Source organism: Homo sapiens, chromosome 7 (genome assembly GCF_000001405.40).
Source record: "Homo sapiens chromosome 7, GRCh38.p14 Primary Assembly".
NCBI lineage: Eukaryota > Metazoa > Chordata > Mammalia > Primates > Hominidae > Homo > Homo sapiens.
In genome coordinates, this window is record NC_000007.14 from 132,298,493 (window position 1) to 132,323,945 (window position 25,453).

At 47.4% G+C, this 25,453-nt stretch overlaps 1 protein-coding gene across 8 annotated transcripts in view; it reads right to left on the bottom strand.

Moving 5' to 3' along the window:
* Positions 1-25,453, bottom strand: part of PLXNA4 (plexin A4) — a 525,349-nt gene that overhangs the window by 175,153 nt on the left and 324,743 nt on the right. The gene's annotated exons all lie outside the window — the stretch shown is intronic.

The window sequence follows — 25,453 nt, forward strand, 5'->3', positions numbered from 1 at the left end:
TGATGCCTTTCTTGCTGGTCTTTGGAGAAAAAGATGAGGCTCTGAGGCTTGGAGGAACAACATGTAATTGAAACTGCCTCAGATCAGAGCGTCACCCTGCATTGGAAAGGCAATATTATTTGCTGCATTTGTTAGCAGAAAAACATGTCAGTGTAAGGATGGGAACTGCTACCTGGATGTCATTGCTGTTCCTTGAAGGTGAACCAGGCAGGGGGCCAACCCCAAAGGTTTCACACTAAGGGTCTCTTTTTTTGCCATTGAAATAGTGGCTTATACTTATACCATTAGGTCCTGAAACCTTCTAGAGGTTTTGTTCACGTCCCCAGCAAAAGGGATGTGGGAATTACAGGAAAATGTGCTTCAGGCATGAGTCATCCACAACCTTCTGCAAACACTCAGCTGAATAGATCATCCCCGGCCATCCATAAGTCCTTCCTAGAAATGCTGGGACAGCATAGAGACAATGGAAAGAAGACTTCTGCCCACATGCCCCATGAATGAGAACTAACCTAGAAAAGACATGAGCTTTCCAACCCTACATGATGCTCATCTGGCCTCTGGATGTTGGCCAAGGTCTCTGGAAACATCCTGTGTTTGAGTGCATAGATCCAACATGACCGCTGCGCAGTCAGTGCTAAAAACACCACTCCCATAAATCAGGAACAAATATTACTGAGAGTGTGGCTAGGCAAGAACTAGGGGATCACCACACTTCCCTACCACATGCACAACTGTAAGCTACACATAACGTAATTTTAGAGATTTCAACAATAAAACTAAAGAAAAAAATTATATTCCAAATATTCCCATTAGGCACTCTTATTTTTAATTTTTAATGTATAATTTTTAACCTCTCACAAGATCAAGGAGAATAAAAGAGTCATTCTGAGGAACTAAATTACAGAAAGAACACCATGTTAATGACAACTGACCACACCAGGTCCCCCAGAAGGCTCCCACCTTTCATTTCTCTTGAGTCCATGAACTCTGATATCAGGTTATTTTGTGGTTTATTTGCTTGATTTTGGGTTTGTTCTGGACTCTGATTTTTAAAATTTCCTTTTAAGCATTATTTTCAAGCTTCATGGACATCAGGTACTGGGAGATGGTTTTGCACATAATTCCTTATTGATATAATCCTCTCAATCCTGTGGGTTTAATGTTCATTCATCACGGCTCATGTGTCCCTCCAGCATCCATTCCACCTTCTCCCACCTTTTGGGTGGGATTGAACCCACTCCTTGCTTCCCAGGTTGTCCGTGATGAGCATAAACAAACCAGCTTGATCTTACTCTCTGCCACAGTGATTAAGAGAAAATAGGCTCAAGCCAATCAACGTGAATCAGAGCAAAGCAGGGACTCATGGTAGAAAGAAGAGGCCATCTTTCTTCACTCTCAAAGGGGTAGAATGAACTTGCGGCTCAAAGATCTGTGGGCAGCCCTCTCCTAACAAGGAAGGGAACTGGAACCAGGGCAGGTCAAACACAGAGATGGGAAAATATTGGTCTTTGGTGACATCGCTGAGCCACTGAATCAAAGTAACCCCAAAGCCTGCCTGACATTGGGACTTCCTAGTTACTGCAGATATTTTCTTTAGGTTAAAGTAATACAAAGGTTTTTTGCAACATCAAAAGTCCTAGTGGATGCACTGATAATAGACAAGAAAAATGATACCCAGGTACATTAAACAAGTGGCCTGTGGGATAAAATCTGGGGACAGAATTAGAATTCAGTTTGACTCTGGAAGTCCATGCTTTTCCTACCACCAGTTACATGAGAGTCCTTGCTCCCAGAGGGTTTCCTGTATGTCTCCCGGTGGTGGCCACCTAAAGGCAGGGAGCTGAGGTCAGGGTCTGTCTCTAGTCTGTACAATTCCTGAGACTTTCTCTAGTCATTCTTGATTTTGGTGCTCAAACACTTGAACCTGACAAATATTTATTTTAAAAATGAATAAATTAATGAATGTAGTTCAGATTCCTCTTTGATGGTTTCCCATTAAGCCCATGAAAACAACAGTTAAAGGATTTAAGGAGTCGTGGTTAGTGTCAAAAATGGAAATGCCTCTGATTCCCAGAGCCTTCCTTCTTCTGTGCCCACCCCAAGCCACCAGATGTCCATGCTGGCCAGGTCCTTTCCTAATCTAGATGAAACAGGAGTTCATGCAAAACCAATTGGGATTACCACCCAAGTCTGACCGTGCAATGATGGCCTTGGCCCCTGGCCCAGCCAAGCTTCATCCCCAGCTGGGAGGTGCCCCTGGAGCAGGAGCAGAGAGTGATACTGAATGCCCTGGCTGGTCTCCAGCCCCCTCAGGCCACCGTCGGCCAGAGCAGGGTCCCCAGGGGAGTGCTGGCGGAACTAAGCTCCATCCAGTGCCCCTTGGCCTGATCCCCAAATGAAATTACATTCAGTGCCTGAGCAGTCTCCTTTATCTTTCGACTCCAACTTCACTGCTCCTTAGGATGAGGGGTTTGCTGGGTGTGGCTGGACATCAAAGGAAGCCAGTTGACTTGGGGGATGGACAGAGGGGTGGATGAGGAAGCACCAACTGGACAAGGTTCCATAGGCCTGGCCTTCTGCAAGGAGGCTGGATGCAGATTAGTCCCCACCCTCTGCACTCTGCCAGCGAGAAATATGTAACTGGAAAGGCTCCTTCTCTCTTTTCCCACCCCACCCTCCAACAAATTTTCAGAAAACCAAAGAAAAGCATTATTTATTCATCTGTTGAAAAAATTCACACAAGACATGGATAAAGGAGTTTATGGTGGAATTTACTGAATGTTTGATGAGCAATACAAAAATTTAGGTAGAATGGACCAGCTGCCGGCTCTTGGACCCTTAACATAGACAAATAGAACAAGAGCTGTTATTTATTGAGTGGCCACTATGGGTCTGGGACAATGATAGGCATTTTATATATATTTATTTTCTTATTTAAATCTCAGAACTCAGTAAAGTAAGCATTAATATTGTCCCCCTTTATAGGTGTGGCACAAAAAAGGTTAAATAACTTGGTTAAGGTCACACATCTGGCGGATGGCACAGGCTGCACCCTTACCAGGGTCTGATTGTTTCCAGTGGTCATGCTTCTATGAGTTCACACTCTACACCAAAGGCTCACACTGAATCCGGCACTATTGTTTATGTAAACCTGCATTCCTTCAAGACGTCAAAGGAGTTGATTTTAAACAAGCATCACCCCAGGGGTGCTGGAGGAGCCATGTCTTTATCTACTGCAGTTCTGGGAGAGAAACGTGCATATGAATGAAGATGCTGTTGTAAATTTTCTAAATAATGATCCCTTATATTTTTGCTTTATACCTTGCAAAGCATTCTTAAATAACACTGTCTCAGCTGATGGTTGTAAAATTTTTATGATGTTGATTGCCAGAATAATCATTCTCATCTTCCTGATGAAGCAGCCAAGATGGAGGCTGTTCTGTGCCTTGCCCCAAGTTCAATGATAAACCAATGGCATATAAGACTAGAACCCAGGTCTCCTGATTCCTAGCTCAGTGCTTGTCTCTTAGCTATTTAGATTTTCCAGAAGCCTTTGACAAGGTTCCACATGAAAAGTTATTTAAAAATAATGAGTCTCCATGGGACTTCGGGCAGTTTGGCCATGGAGAGAGAGAATTGACTAAGAGACAGGAAAAGACAGATTTCTGCATGGAGAAGTAACTAGTGTTACGACTAGTCTCATTTAATATTTTTTATAAATGGTCTGGAGGAGGGAGCAGGAAAATGTGCAAATGATTCTAAACTCTTTGGGACAGCAAGAAGGCCAATAACAAAGGTGAACTACAAAAAAAAATGGTCCACCCTCTGCAGGGGCTGACAGTTGCCACGTGGCAAATAGCCCTGGGACCATGAGTCTCCCAAGGAAGAGGTCATGCCTGCTGTACTCAGTGCAATCCCCAATACATGGTTGGTGCTTAGTAAGTAATTACTGAATAAATGTAAAACAACCACAGTCTCTAATATCTGAGCTGCTAGTTATAATCGAGGTAAGAGTCAGGATCGAGGAAGGGATCAGAGCCACCATTTACTACTCCCAATACTCGGGCAGCCAAAAAGGCCCACAAAATGTTAGGCAGCATTTAAGTAAGATTTCATAGAAAAACAGACAAGCAGAAGCCATCATCTTGGTCAAGTTCACCTGAACATACGAGATCACATTCAGTTCACCGCTCATAAGGTAGGAACACAATCCAGATGCCTGCAACTCAAGAACAGCCTAGGAAAGACAGCCCATGCCAGAAAGAAATAGTTGAGATGAAAGAAGACACACTGACCAGTGGCCATGGTTCAGTCACCAATACAGAGGCCACCCCAACACTTGTAACATGACAACTTGAACAAATTAGATTTCTTTTTTGTTTGTTTGTTTGTTTTTGTTTTCAGACAGATTCTTGCTCTTGTTGCCCAGGCTGGAGTGCAATGGCACGATCTCAGCTCACTGTAACCTCTGCCTCCTGGGTTCAAGCGATTCTCCTGCCTCAGCCTCCTGAGTAGCTGGGATTACAGTCACCTACCACCACGCCCAGCTAATTTTTGTATTGTTAGTAGAGACGGGGTTTCACCATATTTGCCAGGCTGGTCTCAAACTCGACCTCGTGATCTGCCCGCCTCGGCCTCCCAAAGTGCTGGGATTACAGGCGTGAGCCACCAGGCCCAGCCTAGATTTCTTATTTTTACATAGTATAGATACTTGTGGATCACCTAAACAATGAGAAAGGATGAAAACAGAAGTTGATTTTTTTTTTTTTTTTTTTGGTAGAAAATGTAAAGAAATTGGCCGGGTGCTGTTGCTTAAGCCTGTAATCCCAACACTTTGGGAAGCCGAGGTGGGCGGATCACGAGGTCAAGAGATCAAGACTATCCTGGCCAATATGGTGAAACCCTGTCTCTACTAAAAACACAAAAATTAGCTGGGCGTGGCGGTGGGCGCCTGTAGTCCCAGCTACTCGGGATGCTAAGGCAGGAGAATAGCTTAAACCTGGGAGGCGGAGGTTGCAGTCAGCCAAGATGGTGCTACTGCACTCCAGCCTGGGCGACAGAGCAAGACTCCGTCTCAAAAAAGAAAATGTAAAGAAACCAATCACAGGTCACGAAGGTACTTTGGTTGTTTGGAAGATGTTAATCTCTGAGGATGACACCAAGGAGGAAACCACATCCCAATCCTGTGTGTCCCTTGACGGAGCGACACATCCCACACCCACCATGTGTCTGTTGAATGCCCACTGTTCCAGAGCCTCTCCTAGAGAGAAGAGGTGGTAAGTGCCAGCCCCGCCTTCCAGGAGGCCTGTCTCCTGGAGGGCTCAGATTTCACACAAATAATGCCAGGTGGCAAATGCTATGGCAGAGGAGTGTTCTAAGGCCTCTCTTTGTTCTTCTCAGGAGATCTAGCCAACTGGAGTTTAACCAGGGATGATCAGCCCAGCTCCAGGCGAGGCTAGTGGGCAGGGAGCATCATGACCAAGAGCTACCAATATGGCATGCCAGTGATGAGAGCTTGACTAATACAACACATAGCAGGTAACGTCAGATTTACTCAAAGCCACCTTAGGGGACAAAATCTTTTAGATCAGTAGGAAGGCTGATCTGAAGTAGCAAAATTAGCAGGACTAATAGATTTCATAAAGACGTAACATACTGAGAGAAGGGTTAGAGTAAAACTTGGAAAAAGGGCGTCTGAGGGGAAGAATTTGATCATCTTCCTGCAGCATCATCTTGAGGAGAGAGAGAGACTAGAGAAGATCAGAGAGCCACTGTGTCCTCTGTAGTAGGGAGGGGTGCCCCTGCAGGCCTCACCTCAGCCCCCGTAGATAGTTCCAGAACAGCACTGGACAATGGAAGATAGTACAAGCCACAAATGTGGGTCACATACGTTATTTAAAATTTTCTAGTAGTGGCCAAATTTTACAAAACAAGTAAAATTAATTTTCATAATATGTTTAATCTGACCCAATATACCCCAAATATGACATTAGCATGTCTACAAGTATAAAAATTTTATTGAGATATTTTACATTCTTTTCCTCATACTAACTAAACCTTTGCCACCTGAGGTGCATGTTAAACTTACAGCACAGCTCAGTTTGGAGCAGCCACGTTTCAGGTGCTCACTATGTGGCCAGAGGCTACCATATTGGACAGCACAATTCTAGACTATTCTCTTTCCTGTGTATTGATTCTGCATTCACCAAGTGACCTTGCTAATAATTTGGTTTGGTGACTATCCCCCGGAGGCATGCTCCATTGAGATTTTGCAACCACCCCCAACCCCAACCGGCCCTCCCTCCCCCCTGTCCTCTGCTGCAACCCCTTTGTGTCTCCCAGGGACCTTCAAGCTACAGCACAGTGCAGTGTGCCCCATTGCCCTTACTTTTTGGGCATTCTTGGGCTGTATGATCCAGCCAGCTGTATGGTCCCCATCAAGTCAGAATGCTGCTGCATGGGCCTCATTCTAATCCAGGCTCATTTGATGCACCCATGCCTTCTCTTCCCACACTCTGGGCAAACCTCCTGCGCAGCAGGACCCCTGGTACCCCTGCTCGTGGGAGGGGACCAACCAGTCAGCCAGAATCGTTGCTGTGGGAGGGGATTCTTGGAGACTCTTACCTGCACCAAGTAATACTGCCTTGGGAGAGAGTGGTGATAAGTGGGACACCTAGACGGTGGTGGGCATCTGGGGCTGGGGGCAGCAACTGACTAACAATTGCATAGATGCATTTCAATATTAACGACTGGTGAGGCCACATGAGCACTTAAGGACTGAGCATCATCTTGCCTGTGCCACACAGAAACCTCCACTACAGTGTTCAGTGTGCACTGCACTACTCCACACTACATGCAGCTTACCAAGAACACACACACACACACACACACACACACACACACACACACACACACTCTACTCTGGGTATCCAGGCATCTGCATCCCCAGCCACTCAGTCCCTGGCCCGGGATCTTCCAAGGCAGCCAGCCCCTTTCCTCCAGCCCTGCTGGCCCCCTGCCGATCCACCAGTGGGCACCGCCACCTATCTCCATCCCTGGCACGGTGAGTCTCCGCACTGCCAGACAGACTGCTATTGAAACATCAGCAGCGTGGCCTCCGCAAAGGTCAGCCATCCGGGGAGCTCCTGGCAGCTGCTTGTTTGTTTATTGGAACATTATCTGGGCCGGGCTGTTTATTTACATCCATTGAAGGATTGAACAATAAATATAGTCTCCCAGTAGCAGGCAGATGCTTGCACTAGAGCATTCTGGCTGCCGTCTTGCTTGGACTAATCTCCCTAATGAGCAAACAGTGCTATTCATCTCTAAAGATGCAGGCCACCTCTGCACTCTCCCTTTCCTCTCTCCCTTCACATCCTCCCCAAACTTCCTAATGGAGGTCTACACCTTCGAGATTTGGGAGCTGGGCCCAGGTATAAGAATGCAAGGGTGGGCTCTTATCCAACAGGCAGGGAAATAGAGCTGGAACTGTAGATGGAGAGGGGAACAGAGCAAACCTGGAGGCATATGTCCCAGGGCAAATCTGAATTCCCCACCTAGACCCTCAAACCTCAAACACAGAGGCACGTGGCAAACCAGCTGGTGGTCAGGACAGAAGGAGGTCAGGCCTTGCTCACAGGGCCAGAGGTGGAGGGGCTTGTGCGGAGGCGCCCCATATTCCAGCCATGCCAGAGCCAGAGTTAGGCCTTGAAGTGCCCAGAATTGGAAGGAGATCCCTTGCAACAAAATGCAAACCAGTCAGTTTGCAAAAGGGAGACTTCATTGGGGCAGGCAGGGATAGGTGAGGAGCCGAAGGAGGGAAGTAAGGGGGCCAGGTTTGGCTCCTCTCAGAAGCCTTGAGCACATGACTTCAGCTCTCCTAGCTGTCCTGAGTCTCTCTCCTGGCTCTGACCTGGCTCTCAAGGAGGCAGCAACAAAGATCCTTGGCAAGCAATGAGTGACCAGCCGTATCTCTGGCACACAACAGCAGTATGATCTCTCTCAGGAGGGAGCAAACTGTGAGCCATTTGGATCATAGATATGCAGCCTACTCAGTTGGACCCACAGGTTCTAAATGATGTAGCCCTCATCACTGTCACTTGGCACCTGAAAGGAAGAATTAGCACACCAAAGAGTGCCAGAATCAGGCACAGGGTAAGTACTCGTTGAATGAATGAATGAATGGCCTGAGAAGCTGATTCTGGGTCTGAGTTGCCACAGCTGGAACCAGGAGACACAAATGCACACTCACAGACATGTGTGCACACACATGTATACACATGTGCACTCTCTGGCTCTGAAGATGGGGCCACATCTCAGCTCAAACACAATCTCTAGAATTTTCCCTTTCTCATTCTGCAGAAAGGGAGAGAGGACAGGTGATACAACCGTGTCTGGGGCAAAGAAGAGCTGGGAAGGGTGCAGCAGGTTGGCAGCAAGACAGATGCGAATACGGGCATGAGGTCTGAGTAACTTGGCAACTGGCTCGTTGTGGGTTAAACGTCTTCAGAAAGGGGACCTTCCTTGTGGAAGAGCTGCCTAGTTTGCAGGCTGGTAGACTGGAGGATTTCTCAGTTCCCATCAGACTCTGATGGGCTGCAAGTCCATCTCCCCACCAGAGGAGCTCCCTCACACCCCAGGCCCTCACTGCCAATATCCCTACAACCCCACACCAAGGGCATCTGAGAATAAGACTGCACTCATAGAAGCACCTCACATCTTCCCCAGGGCTTTTGTTTTTTAAAAGTATTCCCTCCTGCCTCTCCCCTGGATTTCCAATCCCCTCTCCCCATTCTGCTTTTGCTTTTTTTCACAGCGCTTGTCCCCTTCTGACATACTGTGTCCTGCGTTCATTTATGATGGTTATTGTTTACACCCTTGCTAGATCATACACACCACGGGAGCAGAAATCTTTATCAAGGGATATATCTCAGACCCTTGAACTGTGCCACAGAGTAGGTGCTCAATAAACATTTGTTGAATAAATGAATGAATGAAAACACTCAAAGTAATCATCTTCGTGTTTCTTCATCCTCATGGTGTAGATCTCCCCTATTTTACAGTGAGGGAACCAGTTAGGGGCTTTCCCTCACTGTAACTGGGAGATGTTACAGCAAAAGTGAAATGGAAACTGCCCAGCCAGGCCCGCGTGGCCGGTAGGTGCCCTGTTTCGCCAGCAGGGTGGACTGTTTGATGCCACATCCGTGCCTTCCTGCCTTTAGTCTCAGGGCTTGGAAGGTGGGCGTAAACCCTGCTTCTGTGTTCATGCTGCTTAAGCTGCCCCAGAATAGCTCCATGAGGTACTTTGTTTTGATTTCCTGATTCCAGCCAGGAGAAAGGGGATGCAAAGGGAACTGCAAGAGTGTAAACAATAATTAATTAGACAGGCAGTGTGTGTGCACAAATCGTGTGCCGTGTTACCAAACACTGCCAGGACAATCGGTCCCTTTGGGTCTCCCATTACACACATTCTCAGAGCCAAATAATGATTTCTATGCTGCCATTAGGAACTTCTTGCCCTGCGATGTCCAAACCAAAAAGAAACCAGTGATAATGGCCTCCAAACCTTCCCCACCTGCTTGAGTGGTGACACAAAGAACAAGCTACAACTCCAGAAGAGAAAGATGCTGAAGAAATAAGAAGGGAAGTCAATAGGGCTGATATAAAGAACATACCAGGAAAAGGTTCAAACCAGCAAATTTCACATGTGGAATATTTTGAAACAGCTTCACTGAGTGCACCATTCCCAGAGACTCACCAGAGAGCACTGTGTGCTAAAGTTACAGGTTTGAAACCTTGGTAGGTCAGCCACCCCGTGACCCCAGAGCCACAACTTCTTTGGATAGCCTGCATCCTAAAATCTTGGTTGGCCATTTCCCATGTGCCTCTGGTTAGAAAGGAGCCTGGGCCACTCCCACTCCTAGGAAAACAAGTTCCCATGAATAGGTGGTTAATTCACCACCTGCCATGCGCCACACACCATGCCATGCACTTTACACGCATCAGCTCCTTCTGACACCTGGCAGATGGACCATGCTCATCCATGCTGCAAAAGACCAGAATCCTGAGCTGGGGTGCACTGGCAGCGCAGGATTTTTGAAGTCCAGGGGCAAACAGCGTGACTCCCAACTCTGACACTTAGGAACTGTGCAGCCTCAGACAATCTACTAAACTTTCCTATCACTTTCCTCATATGAAAAACAGAAATAATAACAATACCTCATTGTTATCATTATTGTGCAAGTATGATAATGTCCCAAGCATGGATAATACTTGGCAGAGTGAGGGGGTTTTGATAAATACTAGCAATGATTAATGTGCAATGATTACTATTCAAATGAATGGATCTCTATGATTTTCATCCAAGCCCACTGAGAGCACAACCCTGATATAAAGAGGTTAGAAGGTTTCTATATGTGCCGTAGATAAAGAGGCTAGAAGATGTGGCCTGCAGATTGGACTCCCAACATCTGACAAGTTCACCTAAGGGCAGGAGAGGGAGAAGAGGACCCACAGCTTAGCTCTGGGCTGTCTGAAGACAATAGAGGGCAGGGAACCAGGACTAAAGAGTCTGTGCTCTTTAGCATGAATTGTACAGAACAAAATGGACCCAGAGAACTTCCCGTGGCTGCCCTGAAGCTACAGGAATTGTCTAGGAAACCCTGAGTCTGCTTTAACTCAGGAGAGACTCAGAAAGCCAACGACTTTATGGAGGAAGAACAAAGCAGTTTCATGCCCATGGTCTGACCAAGCTGCAGGAGGGGAAGTGGAGAACCACAGCCTGGCCTCGCTGAGAGATGCGGCATCTCTGAGGACCCAGGGAGGATGGAGGGCAGAGGTGGGGCTGGCAGGATGCTGGGGAGATGCAGAGCCAGTCTTCAAAAGCAGAGTCAGTGGCTCTGCATGGTGTCAGGCACAGAGACGCAGGCCAGAACCAGGACCGTCAGCTCCTCATCCACACGCCTCTATTGCCTCATCCTACAGCTTGGACAAGCCATGTTCATCTCTGCCCCCACACATGGGGAGGCTACCTCCTCTCCTCTCTGCCCACACAACTGTTGCAGTGACAAAGGGGTTAATGCCTGCGAGACAATGAGGACTGGGAACAGGTGTGCAAGGATGCTGGGGCTGGCACAGTCCATGTTCCTCTCCTGCTGGAAATCTGGCCTCCTCTGGAGTGGGATCCAGCAGGTGCTTCATGCTGTTACACCAGAACCAGGAGAAAACTCCTGTCTAGCTGGAGGCCCAAAGAAAACAGAAGTAGAGAGAAACCCGGGAATCCAGGGACTCCTGTGTGAGCTGCTACCACACCTTCAGGAGTCGTCCAGGTACTAACTCAGAGGAAGGATGCTGCTAGCACAGAGCTCGGCACAGGGCAGAGACTCAATAAATCAACTGCACTAGCAAAGGGGGACTTCATTGCAGCCTCAGAAGCAGCTTCACCTCCCTCTCCCTTCACATCCCAGATTTACCAGTAGGCACCGCCACCCTAGAGTGGCTCCCTTATAAGCTATAGGGTGTGACAGCCATGAGTGTGTCAACATCTTGAGGGCAGGTCAGTGGTGTAGAGCTTAAGCCTGGGGCTGTGCAGGCAACCAAGCTCGACTGCTGATTCTGTCTATTATAGATGTCGTAACCTCAGGCAGGACTTTTCAGACTTGCTTAGCATCCTCAGCTGAAACACAGGTCTCAGAATTTGGAGCTCAGAGCTGCCGTGAGGATCTCATCAGGTGAATTGTGAAATGCTCTCAGTTCAGCACCTGATACATGCAATATACATACGTGCCTGTGAGCTGTGGCTAGTTAATACGTAGCCGTGCCTGGTTAGCCAATGTGAAGATGAAGAGGAGATAATGTGATGCTGATGATGGTGTAGCAGAGCACAGCTTCCCCTAGCAAGGCTCCCTGGCAGCTCTGGGAACACCAGTTGCTTAATAGATGTGTAGTAAATTGACAAATGAACACATGAGTCCCATTAACATTGGAAAAAGATCAGAAGGGTCCCAGCATCCTCAGAGACTATCTTCCAAGCTTACATTTCTTTGATGTTCTGTCCTTACAGGACCACCAAACCTCTTTCTAGCACTAAGGGCACCCGCAGCAGCCAGCCCTATATGGCTCCCATCATCATCCTGTCTGCAGGAAGCCCCGTGGGTCTGTTGCTCAGCCCCCAGGCACTGTTCTGCAATTTCCTTGACAAATAAATAACCCAGGGAGTGTCAGACAAGTGCGTATTACCTCAACATCTGCTCTCCCTACTGGGCTCTGCCCTAGGTTCTTCCCCTGCAGCCTCATCAAGCTACTGGGGCACCAGCACTTTCAAGGGGCACTGAGGCTGCCATCCAAGGACAGCTGTGTGTGTGTGAGAGAGGCTAAGAACAGCCCATGTTCACCTATGACAAGGGGCAGAGGTGCAACTTCCCAGAAGGTGGAGGATGCAACTTCAACAAGGCTGGGGTGCCTTTCTCCATTCACTCCTCATCCCCTTGGGAAGCACGCTGGTCAGAGTGGTGCTGCCTGACTTCTGGCAGAAATGATGGAGTTTCATTTTGCAATGTCAGTGCATTTGCAAAGCCCTAGAACAGGAGGGGATTCCAGATTTGCTCAGTTGGGATCTATACCAGGATTTCAAAGTAGCCCCAGTTCCTGGGCTATCTAGGATAATTGTGTGTGTGTGTGTGTGTGTGTGTGTGTGTGTGTGTGCGCGTGTGGCCTAAAGGAGGGTCAGAAGGAAGTGAGGGATGCATGTGACGTTACCCAAGATCCGGCTCATGGAAAACTGAGAATCTCAGAACTCTCCCCAGAGTCTCCCGGTATGATTCGGTGCCTCCTGTGGGCTCCAGCGGCACTTCCTGCACACCTTGCTTGTGTCACTTATATGCATTGCTACATGGGGTCATGAGCGCTCACTGTCTTCCCCACTCCCTAGGAGCTTCTTGAGTGCAGGGGCTACATGTTATTCATCTTACCCAAGCTCACTAGCCAGTAAGTGGAGCACCACACTGAAGTTTACATTTTCTGGCTTCAAACCTGTACTCAGCAACAATTCTTCTAAAAGTAGGCACTGTAATGTTCAGTGTCACCAGCAAAAACAATTACTAGAGCTTCTTTGAAGAGTGGGCCTCACTCAGGGCTATCTCATAGATCACCACCCCTTATTGAATCCTTCCCCTCCCCGTCCCACACATCTCTCCAGCACAGACACTGCCCACATCTTACTTTTTAAAAACAGCAGCTACTCTGGGAAAGAAATACTTGGAACTATCACAAATGAGGACCCAGAAATTCATGAGTCCTGGGGTGAGGCATGTGAATAGTTTACAGTCAGAAAATCTGTTCCCAAAGAGACTGTGGGGACAGCCTTCCCTGGGCTTAGAATGCTGGAGCTGAGAAGGGCATCCCTGTCTGGGGATGACATCACCAGACAGAGCTGGAATGCACAGATGCAGAAAGCTGGGGGCCCTGGGGCCAGGAGAGAGCTTGGCTGGAAGATCACAAAGGGGCTTTTGACCACCCTCATCCCAGGAAAAACCACAGAGACCCAGCTTTAAGCCACCCCCGCCCTCAGTTGAGGGGCCTAAAGACATCCTCCTCCAATCAGACGGGTGACCTTTGATCCCAGTGAGGGAGGCACCAGAGCCAAAGTGCCTTGAAGGAAAATAATAATAATAATAATAATAATAAGTGCCTGTATGGGTTACTCCTTCTGCCAGAAGCCTGTGGAGTTAGTTGCAGAGAAATCCATTTTAAAATAAGATATTGGAAAACCATTCTCTCCGTCACTGGCCACAGTTATTACAATTATTTATGTGGCATCATCAAGGCCCATGTGTTTCACAGCAATTAAACTATTGATCTCCCAGCTCTGAGGCACTGAGCAAAAACCTACAGCCACTGGTTCTGGTGCTCTGGGAGTTGCCTCTCCCCATGTTTCAGATGTGAAAACTGAGCCCGGTGGGGAAGTCACCAAGAACAAGAGAGTCAGGGGATGGCACATTAATATTAATGATCAATATGTTAATATAATATGCTAATGGTATATTGACATATCAATAATAATATATCCATTTATCCATTTGGCCAGCACTTACTCTGTCAAAGTGTTAGTTTTTAGGTTTGCCCAAGAAATTAATAATGCAGTGATTGAAAGCATGGGTTCCAGAGGCCATTAACAAGGGCTTCTACGCAGCTCTGCCAGGACCTAGCTACATGACCTTTGGGAAATGAGTCAATTTCTCTAACCCCTGGTTTCCTCATCTGGAAGATGCAGATAATAACAGTACCTACCACAATCAGTTGACGTGAAGATTTAATGAGTTAGTAGATGAAAAGCATTTAGCACACTGCCCAGCACATAATCACAGCTAAACTACAGTTAGCACTTATTTACATGAGGGGTCCATGGCTACTCACTGACCCATGACACACCTCTGGCAACTCATGTTGCACAGCTACGTCATTGGCAAAGGAGAGAGGGAAGGCTTACCCTCCTGTGAGTCGCTGCACTGAGATTTGAGGGGCACTGCATTCTTTTTTGATGGTCTTGAGGCAGGAGCTGCACCTGGACCTCTGTTTGCAGCTGCCCCCTGGATGCACATGGGGGTGGTCCTGAGCTCCAACCTCCCTCTCTGCCTACCTCACTATACCTATGTCCCCATCACTTTTCCTCAAGCCTAGAGTCAATATTAAGCTAGTAATGGTTACACAAAGTCTTATTTATGAAATGCATTTAAAGTAATATTATTTAATGTGTTTCAAGGACATGTTAAGGGATAAAATGTATTGGATGGTGGGAGTCTGAGACTGGTTTTGAAATAATTCTCCTTCCTGAACTTTTTTGCTACAGGAAGTTGCATGTGCCTGGAACATACACTCTTATATTGCATGGTGTGGACAGGGAGAGACTAAAAGTAGGGTGACAGTAAAGGACTATGATTCTTATCTTGGTCTAGCCAAAAGGCAGTTGGAATAGAGGGTAAGGACAGAGGGAGAAGGAGATGGGGCTTGAAGAATGAAGGACAAACTCTGGATTGTCACACCTGGGTGGCCAAGGGAATGGTGGGCCCAAGGAGCAAGTTGAAGGGAATGCCGTGTGGGTGGAAAGAAGAAGTGCGGGTCTGAGATCTGCTGAATGTCACTGGTGGGAGTGTGGCCGATTGACTGTCTCATTGTTTTGGACATTCAGGACTGAATGTCTGCTGGATGTCTGACTGAATGACTTTCTGCTTAGGCAGAAAGTCATTGCTTAGGACAATTGAGTCACTGTCATTTTAGAGGTGGATTGTGATATCATGATATCAAATCATTTCCCGGAGCCAGAATTTAGACGACCACCATGGCAGGCTGGCCCTCCTACCCTGTCTCTAAGGGTCACATCAGACACATTCCATAGATTACAGAATACAGATTGGAAAAGTGCCGGGGAAAGGGAAGAACACAAATCACTATTTCCTACTTCCCTTCACGTTGCCCCCAGACACTACAGAGGGCTCACTAAGTTGAGGAATAGAATGTTCTCCCACTTCTCATCCCAGAAGCTGAAATAGGCTCCATGCATGACCCAACATAAACTTGCAAATGAATAGGCAGTCACTTTGAGGAGCACAGGAAAGACACACCGATTTAATTACCTTCTCTGCACCATCACCAGGGTCCTTCAATTTTAGTATCTGAGGAACTTTTCTTTGGATTAAACAGTTTCACAGAACCAAACAAAAGTCTCATTTTGCACCAAAATTTTCACAATTTTTGCTTAGGGCTGGTTCAGGAACTTCTTTCCAAAGTCTATGTCAAATTAAAAATCCAGAAATACCTACCATTATTTAAAAAATAGTAGGGTTTATTTCCCACACTGACCTAAGACTTAAAACAAAACGAAGCCCTCTAAGGGTTGAGTGTGTGGTGTGGCCCCTTCTCCCCACAGACCTTCCCCTTGGGTCAGAGCGTTTAGTCGGCCTCATGCCAATGCCCATGACCGGGGGTGCTGGTTCCCTTCTGCTTCTTGGGGCCTTCCATGGTTCACCCCCATCAGAGTCTGGAAAGGGAGGCCACGGGAAGTAGGGAAGGGAGGAAGAGGAAGGAAAGGGTGGGAGAGCTGAGGGTTGGAGAATATCAAGAAAAACTGAGATTTTACAGGTTGTTACTCTGGGGTTCCAAAAGAGGTCCTCACGGAGGTTCCACATCACCAGACCCTGGGTCCTGTATCAGAACTGTCCTGGGTCTGCACGCTGGAGTTCACTAACTGGACTTCCAGCCACTTTACTTCCCATCCTCAACGTAGACCAGGAAAAGTCATGATGGAAAGACTTCTTTGTTCCTCCTCAGCCCAGCAGGGCTCTGATCATGCCAGCTTGTTGTGTTGCAAGACACGAAAAGAAGCCAGCAACAAAATTGTCTTGCGTCACTTAACTTCCTCTCAGATTTCTAAGCAGGTAATTATTTCCTCTCCTCCAATGGACTGCAAGCATTTTGGAGGGTTTTTATCAGAGACACTCCATAAATAAAAGTGTCAGGTTATTAAGGATAATCTTATCCACTCTCCTGAGCAAGTTATCCAGTGGAATATTGTGCTCTTCCTCTGTGGCACTTTCTTCCTTGACTTTTCCATTTGGCACCTAAGTGAGCCAGGGGAGGATGTGTGAGCAAGGGAGACATTTCTGCTACTGGGGCCTGGGAAACAGGACCAGAGGGGCTTTCACTCCGGTCTGTTCTGTGTGACCTCTGGGAGGCTTGTTTTCTCTAGTTCATTCCATTGCTGAACATGAGTTGAGCATGTACTGTGTAAAATCCCACCCAGAAATGCACACATTTCAAATAAGATTTGGCTGGTTTCTACCCTCAAAGACTTCTTGTCCAAAACAAGATTCACAGCACAATTTAAAAAGCAGTTTCACATTGACTTTCTAAATTTAATTCACACCACACATAGTAAGGACACAATAAACTTTATTGAATTAATAAATGAACCATGATTCCAGTGAGGGAAGGAGGATGATTATTTGTACTCATGTTGTATCTATGAACAAACTAAGACTCAGATGGGCTACATGATGCTCAAAGTTAGATTATAGCTAACAAGTGCTGGATCTCATTTTCGATCAGATATTCTGGTTAAAACCCAATACACCTTGGCCCACATCTCACGCCCCTCCCGAGTGAAGCACATTCAAATGATTGACTTCTGTTCTGGTGGCCATGGAGAGGAAGCAGTGGTCAATTCTGAGGAGTGTGCTTCCCAGAAGAGTGGCAATGTGAGCTGATTGTTAGGAGGAATATGATTCAAATAGCAGGAGCCATGAGGAAGAATATGTCCTAGGCAGGCTGGCATGAGCAAAGGCAGAGATGGAGGAAAGTGCCACGTGTGTGCAGTGTAGGGTAGTCAGCTGTGGTCAGGGCATATGACTTTTGGGGGCATGGTGGGAGGGAAGCCCAGAGTGGTAGGTTGGATGCAGGTGCAAAAGACCCTTGAATGTCTTTCAAAGTGCTGGGCTTTAACCTGTACACAGAGGGGAAGTGTTGTATGTTTCCAGGATGGGGGAACTGATATGATCTGACTTTCATAAACTGGAGATAATAAGCAAAGCATATCCTACTTTTTCAACTTGGAAAAACTGCTATGCCCTTGAAGAGGGGCACTGTCATTCCTTTAACAAAGTGAACGCCCACTTATTGCCTCAAATGACTAAACTAAAAAATGCGACTCTATCACCATAAGCCTCCCTATGTTGTGTTGGGAGGTGGATTTTATTGAATCGTCCACATTCTCCCAGTTCTCTTCTAGTCAACTTTTTGGGTTTAGGTTAAGGGAACAATACATTTCTTTGCAGCAAGCTCTCTAACCAGAGTTTGGGAAAACCTTGATGTTCTTAACATAAACTCAATCAACTGACTTAAACGCATGGAAAATGGTGGACTTAGGAGGAACATTTCATTTTAGCACTTTACGGATCAAGTCACTATGGGATAGAGACCCTAAACTCTCACAAACTTCCAGGCTAAGATTTTAAAACATAGATTTAACCCTAGCCTATAAAGTACTTAATCAATAATAGCTTGGTGCCTCAAATTTTGAAAAGGATTTTTATGTACATCATTTCAGTGTGTCCTCCCAGCAGTATTGTGAGCTGGGTTTGGGAAGTGTCCTTAGGCCATAGCTCCCCAGCAGATGAAGAACTAAAGCCTGGATGGGAAATGACTCTCCAAATTCATGACACCACTGTAGCTTCATTAGGTCTCTTAACTTCTGAACCTGTTGTTCTTACCATGCTATCTTGGCACCCACTTCTTTTTAAATAAGGGACTGGGGTCTCACAAGAAAAGTACACAATTTAGTCCCCCACCCTCCAGTTTCATCAATGCAGAGTGAGATGAGTAAAACAGGGTGCTATAAGACTGCCTGTTGCTTGAGCCTAGCTGTGTTGTGCTGGGGTTGGGTTGGATTGGATTGAGTTGTATTGTGCTGCATTGGGTTAGGTTGGGCTGTGTTGTGTTGTATTGGATTGGATTAGGTTGGGTTTTGTTAAATTGGGTTGTGTGTGTTGTGTTGTGTTAGACTGGATTTATTGGATTAGGTTGGGTTGAATTGGATTGGATTGTGTTGTGTTGAATTAGATTTAGTTGGGTTGTGCTGGATTAGATTGAGTTGTGTTGTGTTGAATTGAATTGGGCTGGGTTCAGTTAAGTTTGTGTTGGATTAAATGTAATTGGATTGGGTTGTGTTGGGTTGTGTGTGCTGTGCTATATCATGTTAGATTGGACTGGGTTGGGTTGGGTTGGGTTGGATTGGATTGGATTGAATTGGGTTGAGTTAGGTTGTGCTGAATTGGATTGAGTTGGGTTGGGTTGGGTTGGACTGGATTGGGTTGGGTTGTGTTGGGTTGTATTGGATTGAGTTGGGTTGGATTGGGTTGGGTTGGGTTGAATTTGATTGGATTGGGTTGTGTTGGATTGTATTGAATTGGATTGAGTTGAGTTGGATTGGGTTGAATTTGATTGGATTGGGTTGTGTTGTGTTCAGTTGGATTGAATTGGATTGGGTTGCATTGGATGGGGTTGGATTGGGTTGTGTTATGTTGAATTGGAATAAATTGGTTGACTTGAGTTGGACTGAACTGGGTTGGATTTACTGGTCTGGGATTCACTAGCATAGGATCCAAAGTCTTCCCTGATTACTTTTATTCTGTGGCATTCAGTGACCATTTGCCTATCCTTGCAAAGCTACCATGAGTTTACCATGACCAGGTTGTGTGCAACAAGAGCAAAATGGAGCAGCACAAGCAAAAGTCAGCACAGCATTGTGGAACACCAGTTGTAGGGAGCCTCTCAGCCTGCTCCCTCCCTCAGCTGGCTCAGGTTACACCTGGCCAGGCAATTTCAGAAATGGGTAGGGAAGAAATCCAAGAGCAGGGAGTGGAGAACAAGAGCCAGGCAGAGCAAGGGTCGGGGCCAGGCAGGCACAGTTTGCAGGCCAGAGAACATTCTCTGAGAGCGCAAGAATCTGTGCCTCCTGGGAAAGGCTGTAATCCATTTTCCCTGAAGACCCGAGTAACCCGGTCAAAGAAACTCAATCCCAAGTGGTTTTGACATAAGGTCATGAACCGAGACAAGGCAATCTCAGCAGTTCATCCCACACAACAAGCAGGCCTGCAGGCAGGGGGACTGGAGCGGAGAGGGCAGGGGTAGCATCTCAGGGCCCTGGTTGCAGGGGGAGGGAGTTGGAGCCCTTCCTAGCCAGACAGGTGATTCATGTGGACACTCTCACCCTTCTGAGCACCAGAGATCACACCAGGGTCTGACCCTCTGGCAGCCCCATCTGCTCACTAAAGGGGAAACTGAGGCAGAAAAGAGCGCAATACTGCCCAGAACCCAGAGTGTCGAGGAAAGGAGGTGATATCAGTATGTGCTCACTTGCTTTGGACACTTGAGAGCGCTAAGCTGGGGGAGGGTCAGCTTCTCCAGCCTCCTGGCTTCCTCCCTCCCTGCTTTCCCTCTCCTTCCCCAGGGCTGGGAGCCAAGGGATGCCTCAGCTGCAGGACTCTCCCTCCCCACCCCCTGCAGAATGAGCGTTTCCACAACTTGCACATCTTTACCTCCTGTGTTTACCGGAAAACAGGAAGGAAGGAGGGAAGAGGAAGTCTTTTCAGAGCCTCTGGTGATCATCACGCACTTTGCTTTTTTTTTTTTTTTTTTTTTTTAATTCTTCTCCCCCACTCCAATCTCATCTGTCCCCTGAAGGGAGAAATCGAACCCATCTGTAGTTGTTACACAGGCAAAATCACAGATGCTGCTGTGGTCTAGCCAGGGTCGGAGGGGCTCTGTTCTGTGGTGTATATGTAGGTATGTGTGTGCGCGGGTCTCTGCCTGTGTGTTTCTGAAGCTGGTCTTTAACAAGTGTGGACTCTCTGTTGAATTCTGCATTTTCTCCTGCAGCCAGCAGGTGGCAGTGCTGCGACAGTCGGGTGACTCCAGTCCTGTGACGCCTGGCCCCGCAGCGCTTGTCAGGACTGGTCCAACCGTGGAAGGGAAGGCATGTCCACACGCACCCCAAGGTGGCCCACATAGAGGTCCTGGGCAAGGCGATATGGAGGAGAGCCATCCAAAGGCCCTTCTGAAACCTCCTCTCCTCTCTTCCATTCTTCTCTATTTCCCCTAATCTAATCTAGAAAGGGGGAAACCTACTAACGTTTCCTAAGCACATGCAGCATGGTTTTCAGACTTAGCATAAAACCCCTGCAGAGCTTGTGAAAATGCAGCTTCCCAGGCCCTGTCCACTGAGACTCTCACGCAGCATGGCTGAGGTGGAGCCCAGGAACGTGCATTTTGAGTAAGTGCTACTGGTGATTCCCATGCAGTCCCCAGGGAACTCCAAATTGAGAAATAGAAAACTAGCATATTCCAGGTGCTGTGATGAGGGCTTCATCCTAGATCTGTTCTCAGGGTTCCTTGTAAATTATAATTCTCTCCACCTGTTTCCTACTCTAGGTCTGTTCTCAGGGTTCCTTGTAAATTATAATTCTCTCCACCTGTTTCCTACTCTAGATCTGTTCTCAGGGTTCCTTGTAATTTATAATTCTCTCCACCTGTTTCCTACTCTCCAAACACATTGCCGCTGCACTCCTCTACCATGAAGTTTTGGCTCTGCATTCTTAACGGACAATTTTGCTGTTTCCTTATGCTAATTTCCTGGTGCTCTGAGATCACCGGACTTCCTGCTCCAGAAGCAGGTTTTCTCACACTGCCTCCCTGTCATCCTAACCTTTCTTTTATTCCGTGTAAGTTCCTGAAATGCACAGTGCCTTACCCTGCCTTCCCAGCCATGGGGCTTTGCTGGAGCCGTGCACGGCAGTACCATGCTTCCCCACCTCTCCTATGCTCTCCACTTGCTTCCTTCCCAGTCAAAGGGCTCTGCTGGAGTTCTGCAGGGCAGTGCCATGCTTCCCCACCTCTCCCATGTTCTCCACCCCTGCCTTCTCAGACACCTGAGTTGGACTGCCCTGGTGAACATCTCCACAGTCAAGCAACCTGGAGCTGCACCTACAGACATGTGCAGAGGACAGGCATCTCCCTTGAAAGTCAGCATGACACAAGACCTACCCACAGTGGTCATACTGGGCGCTTTTAAGATGGCAACACAAACAAACTCTGAAAACCCAGTGTATTCATTTGCCGGGGGTGCCATAACAGGTGACCACAAACTGGGTGTCATAAAACAACAGAAATGTATTCTGTCACAGCTCTGGAGATTAGAAGTCTGGAATCAAGGGGCCGGTAGGGCTGAATCCTTCATTGCCTCTTCCCACCTCCAGTGACTGCTGGCAGTGCTTGCTGTTCCTTGGCTTGTGGCAGCATCACTCCAATCTCTGCCTTTGTCTTCACATGGCCCGGGTCTCTCTGTCTAAATTTCCCATTCTTTTCTCTCATGAAGTCACCAGTCACTGGATTAAAGCCCATCCTTCATCCTAACTTGATTAGATCTCCAAAGACCCTATTTACAAAAAGGTCACATGCACAAGTATCAGAAGTTGGGACTTCAGCTTTCCCTTTGGGGAGATACAGTTCAACCTGCAACACCCCACGAACCAAAGATTCTGCTTTCACTTCTTACCTCCTGCCTGGAGAGAGGAGAGCAGAGTCTCCGTGCTTCTCCAAGCACTGAATGACCTTTCCCATGAATAAAGCTTTTGCTCTTGGTGGATGCCATATTGGAAGAGGTTAAAGCAAGTCAGCTTTGGGCTTCCCTGAGTGCAGTGGTTCTCAGAGTTTGGGCTCCTGACCAGCAGCATCCGGGAACTTGTTAGAAATGCCAAATCTCTAGCCTTGCGCAGACCTACAGAATCAGAAACTCCAGGGCTGAAGCCAGCAATCTGTATTTAATAAGTTCTACAGGTGGTCTGGATGCATCCTAAATTTTGAGAATGACTGCTCCCGCGGCAGGGCTCACAAGGGCATCCCCAGCAAGTTCCAGCCACTGACTATGTCGTTTGTTGCCCCAAATCTCCCTGTTTTTCTGCCCTCCGGTTCCTGGCAATCCCTTGCCAGCTGCCCTTCCTTGACGGCTGTCAGATGCCTGGCACATCACCTGGCTCCACACTCACCGGCCAGCTTCCCAGCACTGTTTTTCTCCGGCTGCCTCTCCTCACCTGGCTCTCCGTCCGCCACCCCCTCGCGCTTACTTGCATGCCCTCACTTCCCTCTGACTCTTTCTCCTGACAAAGAGAAGAGCTTGGCAGGGGTTGGTTAAGTTAACTCTGATCACACAGAAAACAAACTGTTATTTTTCTGTCTGCCAAGCTGCTGAAGGCAAGGATGTCAAGCCCAGGATGTGTGTGAATGTAAGATCTACAGTTACCCTAGCGTGTCTGTGTTCTAGGCAAGCTTTTTTTTTTTTTTTAAATCGTGGTCCAGTTCCCAGGGAGATACCAGTGACAACCTCTTGGATGCTCATTGCGCTGGCTGTGACAGTCTCTGTACACATTCCCTGACCCAGGGAATGAGCAACTCCCATAAACAGCAGACGGTGGGTCACCTCTGACATCTGCTGTCCACATTTCTGATCCCCTGGAAGGCCTTGTTCAAAGCAACACTGGGCTGAAATGTTGGTGCACCATGTGTGTTTGCCGTGTCGGTGCACATAAGCAGACAGACCTGCAGGAGGCAGACAGCCAGGCAGGAGGGAGCCCCGGGGGACACGTGGACACATGTTAGAGTCTGGTGAACATTCAAGACAAGGTTTTAAAGATGTGTCTGTGGTTGAGGGTGGGGAGGGGCAAAAAGGAGGCCCTTTGGAGAGGGCCAAGGTGCATATATTGGGGAGCCTGTATGCGGGTGGCCACCCTCCCAGGAGAGTTTCAAGTTTCTGGGGAGGAGGGAAGCCTGGGTGGGGCGGAGGGGGCATAGGAAGTCCTAAACTCCACCCCCAGAAGAAGGTAGAAATTAGCAGAGTATCTGGGCAAGCTACAACCCAGTTTCCGTGCCTTTTTTGTCCCAATCACCAAATTGGGCACAATTATAGTAGAATAGCAGTGAGAAAAAAACAAACAGTAAAAATAAACATGGTAAGTGAAAAGGTTGGAAAAGGAATGTGCCAGAGAAATCTGGAAATCTTTGCATGCAGGCACTCGGGTCTGAGACACACTTTCCATTGGGTCTGGAAACCAGGTAGACCAAGGCTAGAGTTCAATTTCCCTAAAAGGGCTTTTTTTTTTTTTTTTTTAACAGAGTCTCACTCTGTCACTCAGGCTGGAGTGCAATGGTGCAAACTCGGCTCACTGCAGTCTCTGCTCTTGGGTTCAAGCGATTCTTGTGCCTCTGCCTCCCAAGTAGCTGAGATTACAGGCATGTGCCACCATGTCTGGCTAATTTTTTGTATTTTTGGTAGAGACAGGGTTTCACCATGCTAGCCAGGCTGGTCTTGAACTCCTGGCCTCAAGTGATCCACCCGCCTCGGCCTCCCAAAGTGCTGGGATTACAGGCGTGAGCCACCGTGCCTGGCCAGAAGGGTTGCCTTTTTCATTTCTGTCTCCTAGATGTCACATCAGGTTTTAAGAGGCTGTGGCTCCATTCTTTATCCCACACAGCAAGAAGGTAGCATGGCTAAACATCCTGGTGCAATTTCAACCTCTCAGGACCATTCTCTAGTTTCAAACCCCAAAAAGCACCTGGCCACATAGGTGAGTTGCTCCGTCACTATCACTCATTTAGTTGGAGACACTCATCTCCTCTTAAGCACCTCCCGTGCTGTATGTATTTTTAAACTATTGTGACTTATTTTGCTTTGGAAATTTAGGAGATCATTGGGTCACTCTTTGAAACAACCAGAGATGCTCAGGAAGAAAGGGATGTCACAAAACCAGGTTTGGATACCACTGTTCTGGGGTTCGGCTTCCTGTGACTTAAGAGATCTGTTCAGATTTTAAACAGGACAGCTGATCCACTATCTCACTGGGTCCCCTCTAGGCAATATAAGCCAGAGAGGCCTTAACATCAGAAATACAAGGGTTGGGGAGGGGTGGTGCACATTTGTATCAGTGTATTCTCCTTTAGCACAGATGAAATACACTGGGTGACATAATGGAAATTCACAGAGGGAAAAGATCCGTTGGGGGAGAGACTCATAACTCAGGTGACCACTGAACTGTGATCCCCACGAGTTCACCTTGTCCAGCCTGTCTTCCCTTTTGCCCTCTCCCCACCACCAGGCCTTAAATCACCTGTACATGTGCATTGCTGGGTGCCAGCAGATGATTCATGAAACTCAACAGACAGATGCCCTGGTGGGCACAGGAAACCGAAGGATTGAGAGACATGGGTGTGTTGAAGTGCTAGCAGTAACAGCCATGAGGCTACACAGTCCATTAGGTTTTCATTTTACAAAGTAGAGTGTACTTGCATCATCTCATCTAATCCTTCGAGTGATCTGAGGAGTTAGGCATTATTACCTCCAAAGCCTAAGAGAAAGTGGTAAAAGCAAAGCCTTCAACAACAAAACCCCAACCCAGGAGGCCTGACCTGGGTCCACCTAAAATCTCTCAGGACAATTCTAGGCACTCTCCCTCCAAAATAGGTCTGCTAGATCTTCCTCCTGCTCCACGGCTCTGCTGTGCAAGGTGTCACCATGCCAGGGAGTCTTCTGACACGACTCTCCCAGGCCATGGGTGAATGTTCCACTTCCAGGCCACTATAATGTCGACTGTCCTTAGACTATAGCCATGCTTCTGGGTTCTGCAAAACAATCTGAACCCAAGATTGAGAAACCTGTGATATAATATACAGATCTGTCATGTGGAGGAGACTTGCAGGTTTGATTTTTCTCACTGTTTAAATATCTGGGTGGCTGCAGGAAAGATACACCACCCTCTGTGCCTCAGCTTCCTCGTCTGGAAGTGAGGGCCTCATATCTCTGTGGTTTCTCCAAGCAGAAATGATGCAATTCTACATGAGGTGCAAACTAATTTGG